This window comes from Homo sapiens, chromosome 14 (assembly GCF_000001405.40).
Source record: "Homo sapiens chromosome 14, GRCh38.p14 Primary Assembly".
Lineage (NCBI taxonomy): Eukaryota > Metazoa > Chordata > Mammalia > Primates > Hominidae > Homo > Homo sapiens.
The window spans coordinates 32,064,873-32,089,320 of record NC_000014.9 but is presented as its reverse complement, the minus strand read 5'-3'; the positions used below and the strand labels follow the sequence as shown (position 1 = coordinate 32,089,320).

The following is a 24,448-nucleotide window of genomic DNA, read 5'->3' as shown; positions in this document are numbered from 1 at the left end:
AAAGACCACTTCCTCCCCTCTCCCACAAATACCTGCTTGTCCACTGACCTCTGTTGCAAGTAAACATCTATTTCAATTACACCGAACATATGTTACACTAACTAATGGTGAAGATAAACTGTGCTCATAATTTAAAATCTTGACTAACATTTCTGATAAAATAATTTTTAAAAATAAAATTTCAGATTTATTCTCATATTTTAGAAGTTTATTCCATCAACCTCAACTAAATATTAACTTTAACAGTCAGCCATCTGACAGTCAAACAAAATATATATTAGGTTCACTTTTGTAATAAATATTACTATATTGAAGTGGCAATACAAGGAAGTAGAAACCACGTGTAAATACAACTAATTTCAAAATCCGACTCCTATCATTTACTAGTTGATGACAACAGTAAAGCCCTACACCTCTTAAGACAGTTCCTTCATCTATAAAACAGAGCTATATCTATAAATCATTTTTTAAAATGTGAAGTGCCTAGCCAAGGGGCTTAATAAATATTAGTTCCAGTTCTTTATTTGATTCTTGGAACCATGGGAAGCTGCTTAAGATTTATGAAAAATAATGTGATGAGGCTTGTGACTTACAAATATTTATGTGGCAGCAGTGTATACATGTAATAAAGGAAACTAGGGCAGTCCCGTTCAATCCTATTAACTTTTTTTATTAAGTAAAATGTTTACAAATCTTAATCTGGCCCAACTGAAAATCTGTACCTAGCATCAGCTTTAATGTTCTTTACCTGAACTGTGTAAAAGAACAAGTGAACACTTTATTTATGGATATTTACAGAGAAGAAAACATAGTATATTCTAGACAACAAAGTTATATACACAGTGATAGAAATGGAACTTAGTATGGAAAACAGCACAATGATTCCATATCTAACAATTAAGGAAAATATTGAAAACACAAGAGAATACAAGATCTATTCTTTTTTTTTATTAGAAAAGCAAAACCTGCAGATGATATACTTTAAAATGTACATCAAAAGAAGACTTATCTGGTGATTACTTCGGGGAATTTTTACAGTACAGTAAAAACACTACAGTTACATAATGAAATATAACTCTTTATTAAACAAACATCTATTCTGAAAACCAAGAGTAATTCAAAGACATATAAAAGTAAAACCGTCCCTTGTCTTCCAGTCATATATGCTTACCCAAATAATATAATTCTGAATACTATTACTCATTAAGACTCACTTCTGCTCTCCAATAGCATAAACCCCAAAATACTGAGATATACTCTATATGTTAAGATAGAAAGGTAAAGTAGAAATGAAAACACTCTATCATAAAATGTATTTTTAAGGTTTCAGAAACAAAAGGGTCTTAAATGAAGAGTGGAGGCATTAAGTCATGACCCTTTCATTGGTCACTGAAAACTGGAAAGCTTTTTGACAGAAATAAAACTATAATGAGGCTAAAATTTAATACTAAGGCTTCAACACATCCTAATTAATTTGACAGTGGCAATATGAATCTTAAATGTTCAAGTTTAAAAATAAGGTAATTTCACATGACTTCTATGGTTTCCACAACAATTCACAGTAAAATGCCCATTAGATACAGGGAGGAACATCCTTATTCTTCTAACAAGGCTGTTAGGCAGACCACCTGCTGGTATTTTGAAATCAACTCCAGAGCTTATGTCATGAGTCACCATATAGTGATTTTCAAACTGTGACAGAAAAATTCTTCCACCTAGATGTGGGAAGGGTGTTGGAAGAATCCTTCCAACTCTCACCAGAGGAGTGCCTTCCTTATCTGATTTATAGGTTTACTTAATTCAAGAGGCTTTGGTTTGAAAAAAAAAAAAGCGGGGGAGGGCGGGCGGGGGAATAGTTTGAGAAACCCCAAAATAGAAAAAAAAAAACTGTTGTCACCTTGCCCTCAAAAGGGTTTGGCTATTTGTTTGGATGAGTATGGTATTACCACCTCAATGGACAAAAGATCTCATGAAGTTGGCTCTAACAGGTTTTAAGGGAACTTCATTTCAAACACTGAGATAGTTCATATATATATACAAATTATCCATTGGCCCCTTACAACCAGATCAAAACTGTCCTCTATTAGCCAAGCAATTTTTTTTTTCAGTGCTAAGAACAAAAAAAATTTATTGTTTTTTTTCATGCTCCCACTAATAAACTAATGCCCAGTGTCTTCAATGATATGAAGGCTGTTTGAGTTAACTTAAAAATTCCTTTCAGTCTTAATATCTATGTCAATCATGCACATCTATTTTTGATGTAGGCTTACTTTCATGCAACTTGTTCTTATGATATCTAGCACCATGTTTATTTTTACTGATGAAGAAACCAAGACAAAAGTAGCAATAACCTACTAGAAATTATAAGGTTAGAAGGAAAATCTCTTCATTCCCAATCTTTTACTTTTTTAAGCAATAGTGCTGCTTTTAATAGCTTGCAATGCAGTCTCTCATTCTGCCTTTAAGATTGTCTTTAGGATAATCTTATAGAAATTATCTATATCCTTATAGAAATTAAAATTGTGTCAAAACAAAACTATGTTCACAACTAAGTTTTCTAAGGTATTTTACTAGACCATTCAAACACTGCATCCTCCTTTGCAAATCAAGAAAAAAAAAGTTCTACAAGGAATCTAAAAAAATAAAATCTCAATAAATCAGAACTAAAACATGTACCTTTTCACAAAATTGATGCATTCATTAATAAAAGGTATATATTTAAAAATATTTTATGCTTTTAAATTATACCATGTCAGGAAATTCCTAATGGTCCTATCTTTAAAATATATCCTTAACTTTTCAGTTTTTTCTACTTTTACTGCTCTCACCCATCAATATCTCTGGCCCAAGATTACTCCAAAGTCTTCTAAACTAACTCCTCTGCTTCACTTCTGCTCCCTTTTCCCAGTCTATTCATATCAGAGCAGCCAGAGTGCTCCTTTTAAAACATAAATCAGAGCTTCCCATTCTTTTGTTTAAAACTCTCGAGTACTGCTAAAAATAAAAAGCAAGTCCTGTCAATGGCTTACAAGATCTTCTCCAACCCTCTCTCACCTCTCTGGCCTCCCCTAATACTATTCTACCTTTCTCATTCTGCTTCAATCACACTGGAGGAAGACAACATGCTAAGGCATGTTCTTTGCACTTAACTTTTCACAATATCCCCAAAGATCCCCACTGCTAACTCTTTACCTTCCTAACTTACTATACACCTTATTTATGTCATTAACTCTATCCCTCTCCGCATCCCACTCTTAATAAAAGAGTCACAAGGCACAAATCTTTATTTCACCAGTATATCAAAAGCCTACAACAGTGCCTCCCACATAACAGCTACTAATTAAATGCATAAATCCTAATTTAAACTCAAATATTTAGTCAAAAATGAAACCATGAGAATGAAAGCTAACTACAATCTATAATAATGTACTTAGCCAGCATAACAATCTAATTTTATGACATCTTAAAAAAATTTTTTTTCAAAAGTGAAGTTGAGTACAACCCCAAATATAGTTAATTCAAAATTTTTGGCTGTTTAAAGACTTTAGTAAAATCACAAAATTTATGATAAGAAATTATATTTCCAAGACCTAATCACACAGAGGGAACTTTGTAATTACATGCTCTATCTTCTTTAAATCAAATAACTATCCCTTATGTAAACAAATATTCAAAAGAAACAAGAACAAAGCCCAAAGATTATCATATATTCTACAATCTTAGGCAAACTTTTTGCAAGCAGCTGAAGAATAAAAAAACAACTGCACACTAAAAGATGAATAATTTGTTCAGCAGCAATAGAAAACAACAACAAAAAGATGAACAGAGTGTAGTACTGATGCATTACTTTACTGTTTTTTGTTTGTTTTTGAGATAGGTCTCCTAATCTGTCATCTAGGCTGGAATGCAGTGGCATGATCATAGCTCACTGCAGCCTCGAACTCCTGCGCTCAGGTGATCCTCTCATCTCAGCCTCCTGTCTAGCTGGGACTCTAGGCATGCACCACCACACCCAGCTAATATTTAAAAATTATTTTTGTAGAGAGGGGTTCTCCTTATGCTCCCCAGGCTGGTCTCAAACTCCTGGGCTCAAGCAATCCTCTTCCATCAGCCTCCCAAGGTATGGGTATTACAGACGTGAGCCACCTCCCAGCCTGCCTTTTCTTAATGTTGCTATTTCTGGTAAATTTATCAATGCTGTGAAAAGTGAGAAGAAATCAAAAAGTCATTCTAACACACATAAAATAGCTAAGTAATTCAACAATGTAATACCTGTAGGAGAGTAACTCATATCCCATAATCTGTCTTTTTTTTTAAATAGGGTGTCACTGTCACCCATTCTAGAGTACAGTGGCAGGATCATAGCTTACTGCAGCCTCAAACACCTGGGCTCAAATGATCCTCCTTCCTCAGCCTTCTAAGCAGCTGCGACTACAGATGTGCACCACCACACATAGGTGATTTTTAAATTTTTTTGTAGAGAGTCTCACTATGTTGTGGTCTCAAAGTCCTGGACTCGAAATAATACTTCATCTTTGAACCACAGTTTATACCAGAAAGCACACAATTTGTATGTGAAATGAGCCCTAAAAAGTCATTATTCCTATGAATTAGTCTTGAAACAAGAATATAATCAGGCAAATGAAGAGAGAACCAACCTATTAAAAATTTGAACAATTTACGTGGTGACTAAATAACGTAGAAGCATTGGGATTTTGTTTTGGAATCAAATCTCCAGCAACAGTGCCTGATACACAGTGAGGGCTCAGTAAATATTTCATGAATAAATGACTCAATCTCCAGACTAAGAATAATCAGCTTCCAAACCGCTGGGTAATCCTGAAGTCACACTTGTAAACACAATTAACAAAAATTATGTACTGCTTTGGGCCCATTACATCTAGTACAGCAAAATATACTAACATAAAAAGTCCAGTTTTTTTCCCCAGGACTATAATGTGATCATTAACACACAATAGGGGTATATAAACAGTAAGTCTAAAGGTGTGTAGTACTTCAAGGAGGGTCCAAGTAGGCAGTACTCTGGGAGCTCCGCAAACCCACGCAGCAAAGGTAATTCTGCTTTTAACCATTTTTATCTTCTGATATTTCAATTTGTTTGAAAAAAACTTCACTGCTGAAAATATGTGAAAAACCAATGACCAAAACTATTCCCAAACACATTAACTTCTACCCTATTATTTAATGTACACCCTACTCTGATAACATGTTATTTCCCTGAGGCCTTGGTGTGCAAGTCATTCTAAATTCTTTCATTTCTGTATGGGAAACAGAAGGATCAAAGGTCATCCCATGTTCATCAACCTAGGTAAACAACTATAAGTATTTATTTACTGTGCTTAGCTACTATCAGTTTAACTTTGTCAGAGATTTTCAATGTATAAAGGTACATATAGGAAAGTCTACCAAGCCAGTAACTATGGCTTGGTAGTTCACCTTCCTTCCAGTGTCTGAGTCCTTTTCTCTCCACCTTGGAGAACCAAGAAGTGGGGAGAAGGGCATAATTTGATATGCAATATTACAATGCCATATAGTAGAGGAACCGTCATTTTCATCATACAAACAACTTTAGATACGGCTTAACAATTTTTAAAATGAGAGCACCTGATTGAATAAGAATATCAACAAGAGGTGTAAGCTTTAAAGGAAGTATGGATTAAGGGAAAAAAAGACTGAAAAGCACTTTCCACACTACATTAAAAAGCATAATAATAAACAGTACCATAGCCAAGGAGATAAAGGCAATGTGCTATACCATGGTACTAATAAATGCAACAGGAATTCAAAGAAATGAAAGTACAAGTTGAAATAACTCAGGGTTTGGAAAACTTTTTCTGTAAAGGGCCAGGCAGTAAATATTTTAGGCTTTGCATGCTGCACAGTGTCTGTCACACTACTCAACTCTGCTGTCATACTGCAAAAGCACTCATAGACTGTACTTAAATGAATGATCATGGTTATGTTACAGTAAACTTTACTTAGGAAAATTTGAATTTCATGTAATTTTCACATATCACAAAATATTCTTTTAATTTGCCCCCCAACCATTTCAAAATGTAGAAAGCCATTTTACAAAAATAGAGAGTAGGCAAGATTTGGCCCAGAGGCCATAGTTTGCAGACCCCTGAAACAGATGAATGGTTTCAATGAAGAGGAAGGATTTGAGTGAACCTTAAAAAATAGACGAGATTTGGATTGTAAAGTCGTCTCTCCAGGTGTACAATTAGGGTAGAATGGCTGACCACAGTACCCATGTTGGAAAGAAATACTGTTTTGAACATATAAGTTATGACCCTAGGTCTCAAGGGAAAACAAGAGTTAGACTTTGTCATAAGCAATAGAGAAGCCACTACAGATTAGTCTAGAGGAGGAATACAAGACTGGGCACAGAGCCCAAGAGATAGACAAATACTACAGGCTAAATGCACGTGAACTATCACAGAATTTAAAAGAGCAATCCAGCCAGGTGCAGTGGCTCATGCCTGTAATCTCAACACTTTGAGAGGCAGAGGCCAGCAGATCACTTGAGGTCAGGAGGTCGAGACCAGCCCGACCAACATGGTGAAACCCCATCTCTACTAAAAATACAAAAATTAGCCAGGCGTGATGGCGTGTGCCTGTAATCCCAGCTACTCAGGAGGATGAGGCAGGAGAATAGCTTGAACCCAGGAGGCGGACTGCAGTGAGCTGAGTGCCACTGCACTCCAGCCTGGGTGACAGAGCAAGACCCCATCTCAAAAAAAAAATTAATTAATTAATCAATAAAAGAGCAATGCAAGACAAAGAGAGCTTGGTAACTGGCTACTAGACATAAGAAATACAAGGCAACACATTAAGCCAGTGTTTCTTAATGAAAAACTAATCAGTTTCAGCAATAGATGGTGGTTCATTTCACTTTCAGGTGTTATTTCCAAAGACAAATGAAACCTCGGTAATGAAACAAGGCAAGTTCAGGATTATTAACATAAATTTCAGCATCATAAACTTCAGAAAATTACCTATGAGACCATTTGGTGTAATACTCTTATTTTCTAAAGAAAACATATGAAGAATTAGATACTTGGTTAATACAGAAGAGTAGAAATCTAGATCTTAAATTCTCTAGATCAGGGGTCCCCAACCCCGGTCTGGTAACCATCTGTGGCTTATTAGGAACTGGGCTGCACAGCAGGAGGTGAGGGGTGGCCTGGAAAGCGGGCATTACCACCTGAGCTCCGCCTCCACAGCAGCGATAGATTCTCAGAGGATCAAGAACTGTAGGTTGCTTGCTCCCTTTGTGAATCTAACTAATTAATGCCTGATGATCTGAGGGGGAACAGTTTCATCCCAAAACCATGCCCCCGGTTCCGTGAAAAAACTGTCTTCTACAAAACCAGTCCCTGGTACCAAAAAGGATCGCTGCTCTAGATTATAGTAATGTTAATTTTTTACTAGTTCTCTAAAAGAGATATTACCTTGGCTCTGAAAAGGTAAGTATAAAAAGAAACAATTTTGAATCAGTAAAAGAACATGATCAACAGAAAGAAAATGAACAAATTATGCCATATCAGAAGCCAAGGTGAGAGTTTTTCCAAGGCTGTTTGACAAACCAAATACAGTAACTAGACAAATAGTTATGCCAACGTTACGTGTTTATTTCTACATCACCCCTTCTATCACTCTTGCATTAATACCTTCTCCAAATCTTTCACTCTGGCTCATAAGGTACAAAACTGATGCTCTTACATCTTTTTTTTTTTTTTTTTTTTTTTGAGAAGGAGTCTTGCTCTGTCGCCCAGGCTGGAGTGCAGTGGCGCGATCTCGGCTCACTGCAAGCTCCGCCTCCTGGGTTCACGCCATTCTCCTGCCTCAGCCTCCCAAGTAGCTAGGACTACACATTTTTATATTTTCTTCCCATCTGCTAATCTGTCCTCTACTTACCTGTGCTTTCAGTCCACACTGTCATTAACTTCCCTAAATGTCTTTTTCCCCCTTCATTATCCCAATTGTATGCTACTTCCAAGTAATACTTTCCTTTAGCTAAATAACTTTCTACTAACTTTTAAATCAGTATGTAATCCAAGTAACACTTCCTTTAGCTAAATTCCTTTCTACTAACTTTTAAATCAGTATGTACTTCCCTAAATATACCTCAAATTCTTAAAGTGTCATGCTTGCTGTCTCTCCACAGAAGTTAAAAGATCTTTTAAGGGAGCAATATTTTATACTTTTTGTATCACTCAGTGCCTAGCTGCTCAATAAAATATTGGTCAGGGATAATAAAATAGGCTAAATCTAATCTAACACTAGAAAAATGAATATCCATTTTTACCATTAACTCTTCATGATGAAAAGCTTGAGACTCTAAGCAAGTAACATACTAGTCATTTTAACCACAAAATTACAAGGTTATGCTCTTTTTCCCAAGTAATAATTCTATGAAGTAAAACACAGATATGACCAAGCATCAACAATCTGTTTCATTTCCCTGCAAATCTAAAGTACTGTAGACAGCTTCCAAAACACAGTGGGGGGAAAAAAAAAATTATCCTTTTTGGTCTCTCTTACATCTAAACTCCTGCTTGCAATTAAAACTCAAAATGTTTCTTCTTCTATGAATGATTCCCAGAGGTCCTGAGGAAAACAGGCATTCTCTTTCCTGCACCTCTTAATACTTTTAACTATTTACTCCTTTATACAGCTTGAGCTATTATACCTATATCTAATTTATCTTGGTATTTCCAGGGCTAGGCACATAGTAAGTGCTAAATAAAAGTAATCTGAACTAATGAATAACGAATCAGAGACTTAAAAAAAATTAATGCAGATCAGTTTTGTTTTTTTTTAAGGGGAATTTTTTTTTTAACTTTGAAGTTCAGGAGTAGATGTGCAGGTTTGTTTTAAAGGTAAACTCATGTCAAGGGGGTTTGTTGTTACCCAGGTATTAAGCCTAGTACCCATTAGTTATTTTTCTTATATTTAAATAATAAATATTTTTCTTATATTTAATTAAGTTAAATATTCTTATATTTAAATACAATACACTTAATACATGAAAATAGAAGCTGTCCTGGTTTGGGAGGGTGGGTTGTCATAGGAAGTCTCAAGGCATCTAGGAAAAAAACCCACAGGAATCCAAGGAACAGAGTTTGAAAACCAATTAAAGTTCATACTTAAAATTCTTAGCATTGAAGCATTTTTCTTAATTTCTAATATGGTTTTTCCTATTTCAATAAAATAATCGACAAAAGCCTGCACTTAAAACAAGAGCCTGATTACTCAAATTACTGAATGATGAATCTACTGATGTTTCTTCACAGGTCTTTTAGAAATTAAATTCCCTTGGTGTACTTTAAATATATAATACAAGTATCTTTTAGGAACATAGACATCACTAAAACAACACTGTACAATGCTTCTTCAGCCAATTATATTACTACACACCTTCTTGGTATGCAAAGAAAAAACTGTGGACCATACAACCCAAATAAATAGTTCTTAAAATAGTATCTATGGAAACTACAGTTGCGACAAAACTTATTCTGTAGCTACCAAGAAAATCTCTATTATGCCATTTCATATTTAAGAAGTGACCACTAAAGGCCAACACTCATCTTACATCCTGCCAATGTTGGTAAAGTTTAGTAAAGTCTTTATGAGACCTAACTTTTTCTTCAATTAAAAAAAGTGAGTTAGAAAACTTATTATCGCTACTTCAAATCCAAAAAAGGAATGCAAATACAATATTCATTCCTTAAATAATCTTAACTTTCAAGGTCAAAATAACTCTCCAAAAAAATGACTGTGCTAATATGCTTTTCAAACACAAATAAGAAGGGGAGACGGTTTTCAAAACATTTAGGATAAGTATCTTGTGACAGAATTAAGGTAATAATTTTGCAACACATTTTAAAAATTGCTAAGGTCGTTTAAATGGGGAGGGACACTACAAAACTCATAAAGATAACAGAATTCTGCCGCAATTCTTACATCAAAGTGTAACCCACCTCACTCCCCAGTACTCTTAATAATTAATGTACAAAGAATGGCAAAATAAGACATGTTGATCTAGGTTTAAAAACACAGCCTACACAAGACAACCAAATCAATAGTTATTTAATCATCTGTACCGTCTGATTCTGCTTTAAGTCAATTAGATCAATAGTGCTATTTCTTGAAAGTTACAAGCATAGGTATGCGCAGCCTTTCACTCCAGTGCGTTTAGTCATAAATTGCTCCAGTGTCTTTGCAAGTTTTTGGTGACACATACTTACCGCTCTTTGTACTACAGATAAAGGTAATGGAGGTCAATTAGTATACAAAGGATAGATGAAAGCAAAAAATGAGAAAGGAATTTAAAATGAAAGCAAAATCTTACTCAAGAAACTATCTAGTAGGTTACCTAGACGGTTAGTAATACTTATCTACAAACACTGAATAAGAATACCGTTTTATCGTATTACAGTACAAATAAACTAGAATTGACAGCAAAAGGTTTCATTAACGTATTTTTAAACCAAACATTATTCCAAATGTCTAATCGCTGCATCTAGATGAAATTTTTGTTAGGAGAACCATTTTAAGTGGAAATGTAGAGCAAGCTCCCATGAAGTGAACGAGATCCTTCATGCGGATAAACACCACCTAACATTCTAACTGAATACTGGTTCTGGATTTAAGTGGAATTGACAAACTCGCCCCCCGCCCCTACCTGTAGAAAGCAACATAAGCAAGTACTAGTAAATACAGCGAAGCATTTTGCTGTTTTACACCTGAACATTTAAAAAAAAATTCAGTTTCCTGCCTATCACAAAGGAAAAAATAAATGATCGATAAGAATTTAAACTTAAAACGTAAGCACAAACCCATCTATATGCCTATCTTGCTCTATCTCAAAATATTTGAATTCCCATTTATTAAGCGATGGCCAAATCCGAATTTCTATCACATGGTAGAAGTATAAGCGTCTCCCCTACAACTTTTTCGGGATTTTACTAAACGGCCTAATAACAGTTTGCCCTTACTTCCGTGCACCTTTCAACCTCAGCTACACCCCGAGCCTCCAGCTCTCTTGCATTTCTAATAACGCTGAAGAGGGAGGGTGAGAGGGAGTATTTCTGTGTGGATAAGTGCGCGCGCGCTCCCGCGCGGCTCCCCACCCCCACCCCGATACTTTTCTTTAGTGGAAAGAGAGGAAGAATCTGGAGGTTATTCTAGCGAAAACTCAGTATCAAAGCCTCAACCCAGTCGCAGTCAGCCCATAGGACTCTGGGCTCTGGATGCGCAGTGCAACTTCTCATATCTTACTCCAAGCTTCAAAGCAGATGGAAAATTGGTGAAGAGAACCCAGGGAGGAGTCGAGGAGATGAGGGAAAGTGAAAGGGCCGATCCCCCCTACAAGGCGTTTAAGTTTGCAACCGAGACTGTGTTTCCGCGAATCTGCACCCGCCCCGTGTACCCTTTCCAGGTGGAACTCGTTAACAGCAGCAACCCGGCCAACGGACACCGCCACCTCCCCTCTCGACGGACCACCCGAGACTCGAGCAAGTGAGGCGGCGGGCGAGAGCGGACGCCTGGCGGGGCCGGCGATCCCCGGCCAGCATCAGGCCTCCGCCGACCCTGGCCCCGTCACCTGTGGAGAAAGCACCCCCTCCCCCGGCCTCTCTGCCCTTCACGCCGAACGTATCCCTAACGCTGCAGCTGCTGCCCGCCCGGCCTGCGAAAACCGAGCGCAGCGCCAGGCTCCCCTCGGCGGCCGCGGGGCCCCAGCCCCTTCAACTGGTTACAACCGGCAGCGGCGACCGAGCGGGGCAGCTAGCCGCAGGAGGGTCCCCGTCCGGGAGGGGGCAGGCAGGCTTGGAGGAGCGGGGTCCGCAAGGTCCTACCTAACAACGTCGGTCTCCTCCGTCTCCTCCTCAACGGCAGCGGCCCCGGCGGTGGCGGCGGCAGCGACATTCCTGGGGACCGCTCCCGCCGCCGCCGCCTCCTCCTCCACTCTCCGCTCGCCTCTCTTCCTCGGCGCGCTCACCGAGCGGCGCGTCCCTTCAGCCACCTCCCCCCGCCCTCCCCGACACACACGCCCCGAAACCCTGAGCCCCACGGCTCCCGCAGCCAGCTCACCCACCCTCCCTCCCTCCCTCCCCGCCACCAGCGGCGGCCCGTCCCTCCCCCCTTCCCCAGCGCCCGCCGCCGCGCCGGGCTCAGTAATGGCGGCCACTCGGGCTCCCTCGCGCTGACGGATTTCTCTCCCTCTCTCCCGAACTTTACCTCAGCATCTCTCCCGGCGCGCGCAGCCACACACCCGACCGGGGGCGGAGCGGCGGCGCGGCGGCGCAGCCTGGACGGGACGCGCGCGCGCGCGCGAACCCGCGCTGCCCTCCCCACAATCCCCCGTCCCCGCCCCTTCACCTCGCGACGCCTCCCGCGCCGCGCACCCGGCACGGCCCCGCCCCTGCCCTCGTCTCCCGGGAGCCTGGGAAGGCGCGAGCTATCCAGTCGGAGGGAGGGGGACGAGCGCGCGGGGCCGCGTCCTCGCTCGCGTCCCCGCTCCCTCCTCCCCTCTGCTTCTCCCTCCCCTCCACTCCCCCATTGGCTTCTACCCCTCCCCCTTCTTCCTCCGCCTCTCCCACCATTGGTTCCCTCCCCTACTCCATTCCTTCTCACCTTTTCCCTTTTACCCATTGGCGTGAGTATTTTTCCTCAGCTTCCCTCTTTCTCCGTATTCTGCTCCTCCTCAGTCCCATCCTCCACGCTTTGGAAGCTACTGCCTTACTGCCCGGAGCGCCGTCGTCCCCGAACCTCCCCTGCTTCTCCCTTTCCTTCTGTTCCGGTTTCTGGTCGTAACTCAAGAGCAAACCACCGTACTGCAAAGGAACCAGATATTGTGCTCGCGGTTCCAAACCGGGCATGGGCACCGAATGCTTCTCGATAAATCCCCTTATGGTCTCTGAGCATTAAAGAAAGCAAGGGAGGAAAACATGCGCCCAAGCTCGTTCGCAGGAACATGTTCGCGTGTCTGCGCCTGTGTGCGCAGCCAGTTTTCTGGCTGAGGATCGCTCGCCAACTACAGACATCACCCGCCCAGGACCCGGTGCCACACTCACCCAGAAGACGAAACTCCACAGGAGCGAGAAGAGGAGTCCATTTCTCCGTCGGCTCGGCACGGCACGGGGATGCAGGCCCCTGATTCAGTACGTTCTGTGAAAGTGGAGCGAGAAGCCAAGACGTGGATCGAGAAGCCCCGTGGGGCGGGTCTCAGGGTGGCCCAAAAGACCCCTGTTCACGCCACTACCAGCCTAACTTTAGGAACTGTCGTCCACCTGGCTTTTATTATACTGCCTTAAACATATTCACTTTTTTGAGACTCTAGAAATTTCACAAGTTTTGGGGTAGAGCACACTGGGCTTTGGGTGTGTTTCTCATGAGGGCACTGACGCTGAATGGTGCAGTGAGAAAGGACGGTAGAAACCACTGCCTTTGCTTTTACCATTGAAGAAACTGAGGTCCTGTGACTTTCCCGAGGTCATCGGAATCTGCCTTGCACAGGAGACTTAAAATAGTTGCCAGCAGATAAAAGAATGAGCAAAACCACATCTACTCCAATTTGTTAAGTCTGAAAGAAAGTAATTGAGGGGGGATTCCTCTTTGGGGAAATATTTATTTCCTGCATTGAAAATAGTTTAATGTTAGTAAACATATAAAAAGTATTTTAAATTCAAGTTATTCTTTATTTCTTATGTTACATAAGGTACTGAAGTTAGCCAAGGTTGCTTTTGTGTTATAATGATGCAGCTGCTGCCAACCAGAAGTACATTTACGGTCTGTCAGTAAAGAAAACAAAAACTGCCTGTTGGTAAAAATCTATTAGAAAATATTTGTCAGTAAATTTGTCACAATATTCCAGCAGAAGTTCTGTTCGTTTTTCCGTCTTCCTGCCCTTCATATTTCTCAAAGGTAGACTTAATAAAGGTAGAAGAGACATTTCTAATTTTTCTATATATCTCTTGCTCCCTAATTTCTAAAAGGCATAACTAAAATGCTTTATTCGAGCCACTCCCTTGCATCTGAACCCTACCTACCAAGTAGGTTAAGAGTAGGTTAGGTAAGGTCTGTAGCTACTTCTTTCTTTCAGTTACAAATTGTAGGTGGGAAAGAAGGATGCGGAAGGAAACTTGCAAGGAAAGCAAACAGAAAGAAAAAGAAGTAAAAAAGGAGAGAAGGGAATTTGGTGGGTGGTCCAACCATCAAAATGTGGTACTAATGCCATAGGTATCTACACCACTTATGTAAGTTGGAATGTTGATGCATTCCAACGCATGTTTTTATCTTTGTACTGAAAGCCCTTAAGAATACCCGAAGTAAACATATAAAAAGTATTTTAAGTTCAAGTTATTCTTTATTTCTTATGTTACGTAAGGTACTGAAGTTAGCCAAGGTTGCTTTTTAGTGTTATAATGATGCAGTTCAAAGTCATAACCTGAATAAGATGTTAAGTACTATAGAGTGTACACCCTAAAGATACCTTAAAAATTATGTCCTAAATAATCAGAAATTTTAATAATCATGGACATGTATCAACATAAACCAAAGCCAAATAAATCAGGGCTTCTAAAGAAAACGTTAAAAAGGTGTAATGTTCAGTTATAGGACATGATACTGGAGGCAGGGAAGACTTGAAATCTCATTTATTTTCTTATAATGAAGACACCAGAAGACGTTAAAAAAAAAAAAAAGATCACGATTTCCAAACAATGATTTTCATAGTCGACATTATTTTCAGTTCTTTATCTTGATTTAGGGAGCCTGGAAATTTAGGACTTCGTTTCTTATTAATACTAATAGTCTAAAGGTGTTTACCAGTACAAATAAGTTATTGTATGTAATTTGCTCTTCTCAAAAAATAGAGTTTTCTGTATCAATAAAAATCTGAAATGGGGGCCACAATTCTGTGGCTAATAATGCCTATATATCCATAAATAAAAGGCATCAAAGAGCAGGAGGAAAAATATGTAAGATGGCATCTTTAAAAATTGATCAGGAGCCAAGACTTCAGAGAAAAAGCTTTAAAACACCCACCCTCCCTACTCAAAAGGATAATTTTTAAGAAAATAGGTAACTTATTTACACACACACACATGCGCGCGCACAAATATCGGACAGAAATGGAAATGGAATAAATATTAACAAGCCCTCTCAAATCAACTACTCTTCTTATCTAGAATAAAAAAGTTAAGCCTCTCTTCTGCTGTACTGGATAATTAAAATAACTGGACTCTTTGTTCCTCGTTTACTTTGAAAAAATTAGAATAAGATTTGTCAGGCATTTTCGGTTTTTAATTTAAATTTTCTTCATAAATCTCTAGTTCTTCATCACATCCTAATAAAGTATTAATATGCATGGTCTTTTTGAGATCAAAAGACATGACAGTCATAAAAAAAGTTATCATAATTCCAGCTTCTACCATTAGTGGTAATACTGCAATATTCAAATGTTTCATATGTTGTGGCTTCAAAAGAACTTACCCTATAGAGGCAGCTACACCCCCTGCTGGAAATCTTTGATCATAACAACTTTGGCTTCTGTAGTCTCAATCAGGAACATATGAAAAGCCAAATAAAGGGCCTTACCACTCATGACAGAATTGACCAATACTTTAGCCTGTCTGATACAAGACAGGCTTTTGGAGAACAACCTATGTCAGAATATCACCTTGATTACAGACAAAATACACAAAGAGGATGGAGAATAATGATGTAAATAGCTAAATAGCCAAAACACTTGTAAGATATTTGCTTAATTTCCAACTGTATTTCCACTCTTTACCTTATCCCCATCTCCTGCCTAGACTTCTCTTTTTCTCTCTATCTCATACAATTAGGCCTACTTGAGGGGAGGAAGAAGGCAGGATAAGATGGGATATTAATCCTTCAGCTAGGCAAATAATGGTGTATCAATCCACAGTAGCCATTTGCTGCATTAAGGTGCTTAAGGGCTTTCCCCAAATTTGTTTTATGGGTACCAATGATATTTTCAACATGAAGAAAAGGTGCTAATTATGTCTTGGCTGTTACTGTAGAAAATATTTTGACAAGAGTTAAGGTAATTGTGAGCATGGGACTGGAACAGGAGGAAAGTAGTGCATTGACCTTCTTGGCATTTTGTTCCACACAGCCTTGTTCTGTTGATATTCCAGAACTGTATTTTCAGACTGAAATCCCAAAGATGGTATCAGAGTCTAGCTTTAAAATGTCATGCTCATGAAACTCTAGTCCTAGGACATAACTGAAATACTGAAAGCAGCACACTATTTTTAAATAATTCGTATTTTGTAAAGATTATTTGTAATGCAGACTCCTTTTAAAGGAAAAACAATTCATTCAGATCCCACCAGCACAAATACTTTAATTAGACAAAATCTTCAAGTTATTTCCTCTCACAAAAGGAGGTATTGTTGGGCCATCTGGACTCTCTATTGAGTTTTTATGAAAGATCACAGCTTGAATTTAATCAACCCCAATAAAGTTAACCCCATAAAGCTAAAAAATAATTGCAAGAATTGCTAACTGAAGGATTTGAATTCTCTGTTTGAGATTGTTACCACTGTCATTTGTAAATCATTACAATGGGAAACAGGAACTTGTATTGCTTGACTATTTAACCTCATGAACATAATTTTTGTGAATTTCCCACTCTATTTAGACCAAATTTAGATTGTGAGTCTCTCTACATAGGAATAACAAAATGAATGTTTGGCTCTATATAATAACTAGAAGATCATTAGTAGAAAGTTCAATAAATGTTTGATAATAATAACATGAAACACTCTAGGTTTTATGGATTTCTGTGGATTTGTGGCTAACAGAAGGCTTTAGATTATATTTCGAAGTGCCAGCTGAGATAATCACTTTGGAAAATACAAATCATTTAAAGAAATCGCTGAATTCACCTGTGAAAGTTGAGTTAGATGTCCTTCCTCAAGTACAATCGACATATTTCCACATAACATCTCTCTAGTAGGTAAATGTGAGTTACTAACAACAAATAACTATAGGTCTGAAACATCTGGAAACATTCTAAAGAACTGGTGCAGTATAGTTTCTGAAACCAACGATAAAGTGGCTAATCACTTCTCAATTAAGTCTCTGTCGGTTTTCCCTATTATTTTAAACTAAAATAGATGGTAAATACTTATTTTGCCAATTCACATGTTGCATTTTCTTCAAAAAGGCAAAAATACAACTATTTTTCTAGTTCAATAAATATATACATACTTCTAAATACAGAAGGCCCCTGACTTACGATGGTCCAACTTAAGGTTTTTTGTCTTTACGATGGTACGAAAGCAATAGTGACAGCATTCGGTACAAACTGTACTTTAAGCACCCATACGACCATTTTTTTTTCACTTTCAGAACAGTATTCCATACATTACATGAAATATTCAACATTTTATTATAAACTAGGCTTTGTGTTAGATGATTTTGCCTGACTGTAGGCTAATGTAAGTGTTCTGAGCATGTTTAAGTTAGGCTAGGCTAAGCTATGATGTTTGGTAGGTTAGGTGTATTAAATGCATTTTTGACTTTACAGTATTTACAATTTATGATGTGTTTATTGGGAAGTAACCCCATCATAAGTTGAGGTGCATCTGTACTTCTGTATGTCTCAAATTACAATGTGATTCTTTTGATGAACACATAGCTTCTTTCATATACATCTGTTATACAGTGAGGAATAAGAATACTCACCTTCTTTCTCCAACTAGGCTTCTTACTCCTCTTCGGCACAGCCCAGGACAGGCCTATATCACATACATCATTTGTTTCTGGTTCTAATTCTTATAGGAATAGACATTAAATAACTTTTTTATGCTATGCCACAAAATATTTATATTAGTTATTCTGAGATTTTACAAACATGACAATAATGTAAAACTGATGTAGCAAAAGCATATAAAGAGCTATATGTATCCTATAAATTAAATTCTTATAGAATTAAATTTAAAAGGAAGCAATTATTTAAAATGATATTTTAGAAGCATGTATTTATTGAGGTAGAAAAATAGTCATAATACTTTATGTGGGAAAAAATGGTACAAAGCAATAAAAGCTGTATGTTGCTGTTGTTGTTGTTGCTGTTTGAGATGGAGTCTCACTCTGTTGCCCAGGCTGGAGTGCAGTGACTCAATCTTGATCTCAGCTCACTGCAAGCTCCGCCTCCCAATGGGTTCACGCCATTCTCCTGCCTTAGCCTCCCAAGTAGCTGGGACTACAGGCGCCCGCCACCACACCCGGCTAATTTTGTATTTTTAGTAGAGACAGGGTTTCACCATTTTAGCCAGGATGGTCTTGATCTCCTGGCCTCGTGATCCGCCTGCCTCGGCCTCCCAATGTGCTGGGATTACAGGCGTGAGCCACCGTGCCCGGCCTTAAAAGCTGTATGATTCTTATAAAAAGAAAATGTCTGAAAATAAGATGACAATATTATTGACCAACATGTTATTAGAGATTTTAACTAGATGGTGAGATTATAGCTAATGTTTATTTTTTTCTGTCTGTGTTTTCTAATTTTCTACAATGAACATAGTATTTCTTGTACTATAAAAATTTGAATTATAGTGGGGTTGAAAATTGAGAAAGGCAAAGAGACACTGTACAAGGCAGGATAAGGTAAATTGTCTTGAAGCAACTGGCTGCCTACCATGTATGTCTCTATTTTCTCTTTTACGCTTCTCTTTTCTTCTCTCTTTTTTTACCCCCTCCTACTCTTACTTTAGGTGTTTTTTCCTTTTTCCTTTCCTTTTACTTTTTAATTCTCTGTCTTCTTTTCCTTCTCTCTTAATTATCTCTTGGGCCTCTTACAGGCCACATTAGGTATTGCCTGGTTCCGTTTGTGGCAGTCTGTGATATTGCCTGGAATGAAATGGTCTATGCAAACATCTTCTTGCCGCCACTGGATTGTATTGACTTTAATGACCTTTTAAAAAGTTCTTTTACAGCAAAACATACCAAGCAAAGAACATACATTTTATTATCCTTTTATTTTTAATTATGTAAATGTGCCAATCAGTAGCATTGCCTATATTGTAGGTGGTCTCACTGCAACTGTGTTGAAAAGCTTTCAGATATAGACAATAGGTAGTTTTCTCCAGTACTGATAAAGCTGAGCTGATCTTTCCACCTGCTTTAGTCTTTCCTTTTTGGACCACAAGGTTTATAATAAAATGTGTCCCATCTGGATTTGTTGACACTTGAGTTACCTTCGAATTCCACCACATCAGTAACTAATGGTTGCTTTTCCAAGTTGGGGCATTTCTTTAGTAGAGCTCCTCCTCTATCTACTACATTCTCCTTAGCAGAGCACAATCAATTACCAGCTTAAAGAAAAGGTAAAACTGTCTGACTAAAGTGCAAAGTAATTATTATGTACACAGTAGTCTGTAGTGGAAAGACCACTGAACTGGGGAGTCAAGAAACCTGAATTTTATCTCAGGTTCTGAAACCTGAGATAGTGGTGGCTAGGTGGCTAATCACTTCACAGTTAAGTCTCTGTTCGTTTTCCCTATTATTTTAAGCTACGATAGATGGTAAATACTTGTTTTGCCAATTCACATTTCTGCATTTTCTTCAAATGCAAATACTGTGTGATCTTCAGAAGTCACTGAATCTCCCTGAGCTGGTTTCCTCATCCACAAAATGGCCCCTTTGCTGCTCTAACATTATTTAGTTTGAAGTGATTTTGCCCAAAGACCAGGCTTCCTTCTTCCTGGTTTACCCTAAATTTAGCACCTACCTGTACCCACCACCACACCTAGAACAAAGCTGTTACCTTTTGCTCCACCTTTGGTTTTGTCTACGGCCCTTACCCCATCCCCCTCCACAAAGATAATTTTTTATCGCCATATGCATGAAACCAAGTAAATTGATATTCATCCAAATCCCATACCTAAAGTCTATTTCATTCGATTTGGATCTCCGGAGTTCCCACAATAAACCTGTCCCATTCACGTTATAAAGCCAGTGATTCTGGACCCTCCTTGCCAAAAGGTTGCCTTGTACTTTCTAAGCCCATGGTTCTTTCAATTTTCTAAATTTATTCATCACTTTGCCCCCTCACCCCGCCCCAGCAGTACAATCGAGAGCATCCAACAGCCCATCCTAGGCCCCCTATATAACCCTGTTTAGTAATCTATTCAGGCCATACCTTTTGTCCCTTATGCACGTTTATAGCTAGTCCCATTTTCATCCTTAGCCCCAGGCAACCACTACTCTACTTTCTGTCTCGAGAAATTTGCCTATTCTGGACATTTTGTATAAACTGAATCATACAATATGTGTGATCTTATGGATCTGGCTTATTTTACTTAGCATAATGTGTTTGAGGTTCATAAATGTTTTAGGATGCTTCAGTGGTTCCTTCCTTTTCATTGCTGAGTAGTACTCCATTGCATGGATATGTAGAATTTGTATATCCATTCACCACTTAACTGATGTTTAGCTGGTTTCCACTTTTTGGCAATTATGGATTATGTTGCTCTAAGCAACCAAATATTTGTGTACATATGTTTTAATTTCTCTTGAGTAGATACTTACAGGTAGAACTGATGGATCCTATAGTCAATTTATGTTTAACCCTATAAGAAAATACCAAACATGTTTTCAAAATGGCTGTATCATTTTATATGACTGCCAGCAATGTATAAGGGGTCTAGTTTCTCTATAATCTATAATATAGTATGGCCAACACTTGTTGTTGTCTATCTTTTTTATGATAGCCATTCTAGTGGATATGAAGTGGTATCTCATTGTAGTTTTATCTATCTATCTATCTATCTATCTATGTATCTATCTATCTATGTATGTATGTATCTATCTATCTAGAGACAGGGTCTCCCTCTGTTGCCCAGGCCGGAGTGCAGTGGCATGATCATAGCTCACTGCAGCCTCAAACTCCTGGGCTCAAGTGGTCTTTCCACCTTGGCCTCCTGATTAGCTAGGACTACAGGCATGTGCTGCCACAACTGGCTAATTAAAAAAAAAATTATTTTTTGTAGAGACAGGGTCTCGCTTATGTTGCCCAAGCTGGTCTTGACCTCTTGGCCTCAGGTGATCCTCCCACCTCAGCCTTTCGAAGTACCAGGACGACAGGTGTGAGCCACAGCATCCAGCCTCTCATTGTAGTTTTAATTCATATTTCCCTATATGACAAATGATGTTTGGCATCTTTTTATGTGACTATTAGCCATTGGTATCTCTTTTTTGATAAGTTATCCATTCAAATCTTTTGCCCATTTTAAAATTGGGAAATCAGTCTTATAATTGAGCTGGGCTTCCTTGAATTGCAAATTCTTTGATTGAATTTTTAAAACAAATCCTTAAAATGTTTTTCTTAATGCAGTGATGACTTTTTTTGTATTTTTATTTTTATTTTTTGAGATGGAGTCTTGCTCTGTTGCCCAGGCTGGAGTGCAGTGGTGTGATCTCAGCTCACTGCAACCTCCATCTCCTAGGTTCAAGCGATTTTCCTGCCTCAGCCTCTGGAGTAGCTGGGACTACAGGCTCACACCACCACACCCGGCTAATTTTTGTATTTTTAGTAGAGACGGGGTTTCACCATGTTGACCAGACTGGTCTGAAACTCCTGACCTCAAGTGATCTGCCCGCCTCAGCCTCCAAAAGTGCTGGGATTACAGGCGTGAGCCGCTGCGCCCGGCAGATGACTTTATTTTAATATTTTCCCTGTACCACTTCCCAAGAATCATTTTCTTGCATTAGCAGTACTTCTTTTTCCCAAATTGCAAAAAGTTATTAAAGATAAAATGTCATTGAGTAAAATACTCTCTTTGAGGGCATTCTTACAGTCATTCTATTTCACTGGTAACATGTGGTTGTTTAGACCTTCCCTTATTCTTCCTTCCTCAAACAGGATAGCTTCATGCCAGTTATCCTATTTGATTTTGTTGTAGAAGCCGTGCATTCATTCTATCAGAAAATCTAGGTGAAGAACTATTAAACAGTGAGCAATACGCTACCTGATCCACTTACAAGTGGATTCTCCATCTCAATAACATGAGCCTTGAGCGGGACTTTTTAGGCATATCAATCAAAACTGAGTGACTACTATTAACCTTCTTTTCCTTGGTGCCTAATTCATTTTCAGTTAGTAAATGTCTCTGAAAGTGAGTTAACTCTTTTAAGCCAACAGAATACAAATTTAGTAGTAGTTCAAAGTGATCTTTTCATTTGATACCTCAAAATAATGCCATGCCTTTTAATATTTTGTGGTGTGAGGCAACTTCTTGGCCCCAAAGAAATCATGTGCCACAGTGGTTTAGGAATTAGAAAGAAAAGAGGTTACTGCAGTTTGGATACTCAGTTCTGATTTACTGTGTGTACATCTGCAGTGTGGCCCACAGGTTCATATTATTGTGGTTAGCATCCCAAGCGTCATCCTAATTCTAATAAAAGAGCTCTGGTTTTGACAGTATTCTGTATGTTTGCTTTGTAATGGAACAGGCTGCTGACAATTCTTTGAATTTACCTGAGGGTAAAACTCCTCACCCTACCCCACTTCTCCACTAGTCACCTCATCAGTTAACTCAGTGTAATCAACTGTTGCAATCCACCATTCAGATTTTTAGCTAAATCATCACAACAGATATTTGCAAAGGTATTTTTTGATCGGCTGCCATTATGTACACCTGCAACTTACTGAAAACTCTTGTCTATCAAACTCTCCTAAAACTCAGAGAATAAGTACTCCGTAAGTTACTAAGAGGAAACGTCCTCATTTGAAAGTGGAGTCTTGCTACAAAGTAGCAACGCTTTGGGAATACTGACAATCTAGAGCTCCAGGAACACTCCTCAGTCCCCTTAGTCCTATTACACTGATCCAGATCTTAGTTTTAGTTTTTACTTTAATTTTGTTGAGAGCTCTTGTTTTAAAGTGGTATGTGTTAAGTATAAGCTGGTAACAGGGTGATTCATTTTAGTTTATTCTGCGTTATTTTATATATGAGATCTACATGTGGTTTTATATATTCTGGAAATTCCATATGGTCCCAAATTTATACAAATATTAAAAACAAGTATGGCCTGGGCAACATGGCAAAACCCCATCTCTACAAAAAAATATAAAAATTAGTCGGGAGTGGTGGTGCATGCCTGTACTCCCAGCTACTCAGGAGGCTGAGGTAAGAGGATCACTTGAGCCAGGAGGTTGAGGCTACAGTGAGCTGAGATCACGCCGCTGCATTCCAGCCTGGGTTATGGGAGTGAGACCCTGTCTCAAAAAAAAAAAAAAATTAAATAGCCTGGAAAGAAATATATCAAAATATTAACAGTGGCTATCTCTGGGTAATTTTCTTTAAAATATATTCACCTTATATATTGTCTTATATATTCATTTTACCTTCTTATATATATATGTTCTTATACATCTTTATACTTTTTTAGAATTTAAAAAAGAAGGTGTTTTTTAATGCTGCACATGTTAATCATGTCTTCTCATTTAAAATATTCCTCAAAATTACAATGATTGGTAGAATAAAAACACGAGTTAGGAATCCTACGTAGACTTTCTCTTTAGAGTACTACTTTGAGACATTCTCTCATTCAACAACCATCAATTTGCACCCACTCTGTGCCAAAGACAATGCTCCAGCCAGATACATAAAGATGAAAGGCACGATGCCTGCCTACAACAAGCTCATTTTCATGTTCTAGGATTGGATCTTAACTGAGAAATTGGCCCATAGATTACATTTCTGTTACAGTATAATAGCTTCATCATTTACAATTTCTCATTTTAAACATGACAAGCATAATAAAAAGAGGTGATAGATAGATAGATAGATAGATAGATAGATAGATAGATAGATAATAGAGTCTTGGAGAGTGACAAATTTGAACAGAAAATAATACTTTATCAAATTGACCAACTAACTTGCTCAAATTACTTATGTGATTAGTGTGTTTTCAAAACTCACATTCTGAATGTTAGAAGCACTTTGAATCAACTCTGTTGTTTTTCTTTTCTACTGTCAGATTTGTAGACTCATGGTTTTGTTTTTTGCAGTCGTTAAGGTTAGCGCCATGCCACCAAATGACATACAGGCCATTCTGAGACTGAGCGAAATATTGTTTTAACTGGCATATAACTGTTTTTATTTGGGTTTCTGTGGAATTTGAAAGTCTGCAACTCATCCAAAATAAGAGTATTCCACAAATTCCATTTCCTAACAACCATCCCTCCTTCATATACTGTTTCCATTTCTTTCAATGTAACTAAATTTTTAGCAGGACATTCCAAGAAAAGTTATGAAGGGAGGTGTTTTAAGACAAGCAAAACACAGAATTCGTCCACAAGTCCTCCTAGTGGTATTAACAGTACAGTAGTAGCAGCAGAATCAGTGGTAATAGTAGTATAAAAATAAAAATCATAATATAG

General features: G+C 38.4%; 1 protein-coding gene and 1 long non-coding RNA gene across 3 annotated transcripts in view, besides 4 other annotated features; one reads left to right on the top strand and one right to left on the bottom strand.

Annotated features, from left to right (window-relative positions):
- The window catches only part of ARHGAP5 (Rho GTPase activating protein 5), an 82,425-nt gene extending 70,408 nt beyond the window's left edge, over window positions 1–12,017 (bottom strand). For both annotated transcript variants that reach the window (NM_001030055.2, NM_001173.3), the window contains exon 1: window positions 11,886–12,017. The gene's annotated coding sequence lies outside the window, so the exon portion shown is untranslated. The remainder of the gene's footprint in view (window positions 1–11,885) is intronic.
- Window positions 11,664–11,958: a silencer, noted in NCBI's record as "tiled region #9862; K562 Repressive non-DNase unmatched - State 1:Tss". NCBI's record gives its function as "represses a minimal TATA promoter and a strong SV40 promoter by Sharpr-MPRA in K562 cells {active_cell/tissue: K562}" and the evidence as "EXISTENCE:reporter gene assay evidence [ECO:0000049][PMID:27701403]".
- Window positions 11,664–11,976: a biological region, named in NCBI's record as "Sharpr-MPRA regulatory region 9862".
- Window positions 11,757–11,976: a silencer, noted in NCBI's record as "silent region_5658". NCBI's record gives its function as "represses an Ori minimal core promoter by ATAC-STARR-seq in GM12878 lymphoblastoid cells {active_cell/tissue: GM12878}" and the evidence as "EXISTENCE:reporter gene assay evidence [ECO:0000049][PMID:35858748]".
- Window positions 12,337–12,596: a silencer, noted in NCBI's record as "silent region_5657". NCBI's record gives its function as "represses an Ori minimal core promoter by ATAC-STARR-seq in GM12878 lymphoblastoid cells {active_cell/tissue: GM12878}" and the evidence as "EXISTENCE:reporter gene assay evidence [ECO:0000049][PMID:35858748]".
- Window positions 12,622–13,902, top strand: ARHGAP5-AS1 (ARHGAP5 antisense RNA 1 (head to head)). The gene has a single exon (NR_027263.1). It is a non-coding gene; the product is annotated as an ARHGAP5 antisense RNA 1 (head to head) (long non-coding RNA).
- Window positions 13,903–24,448: the final 10,546 nt, after the last annotated feature.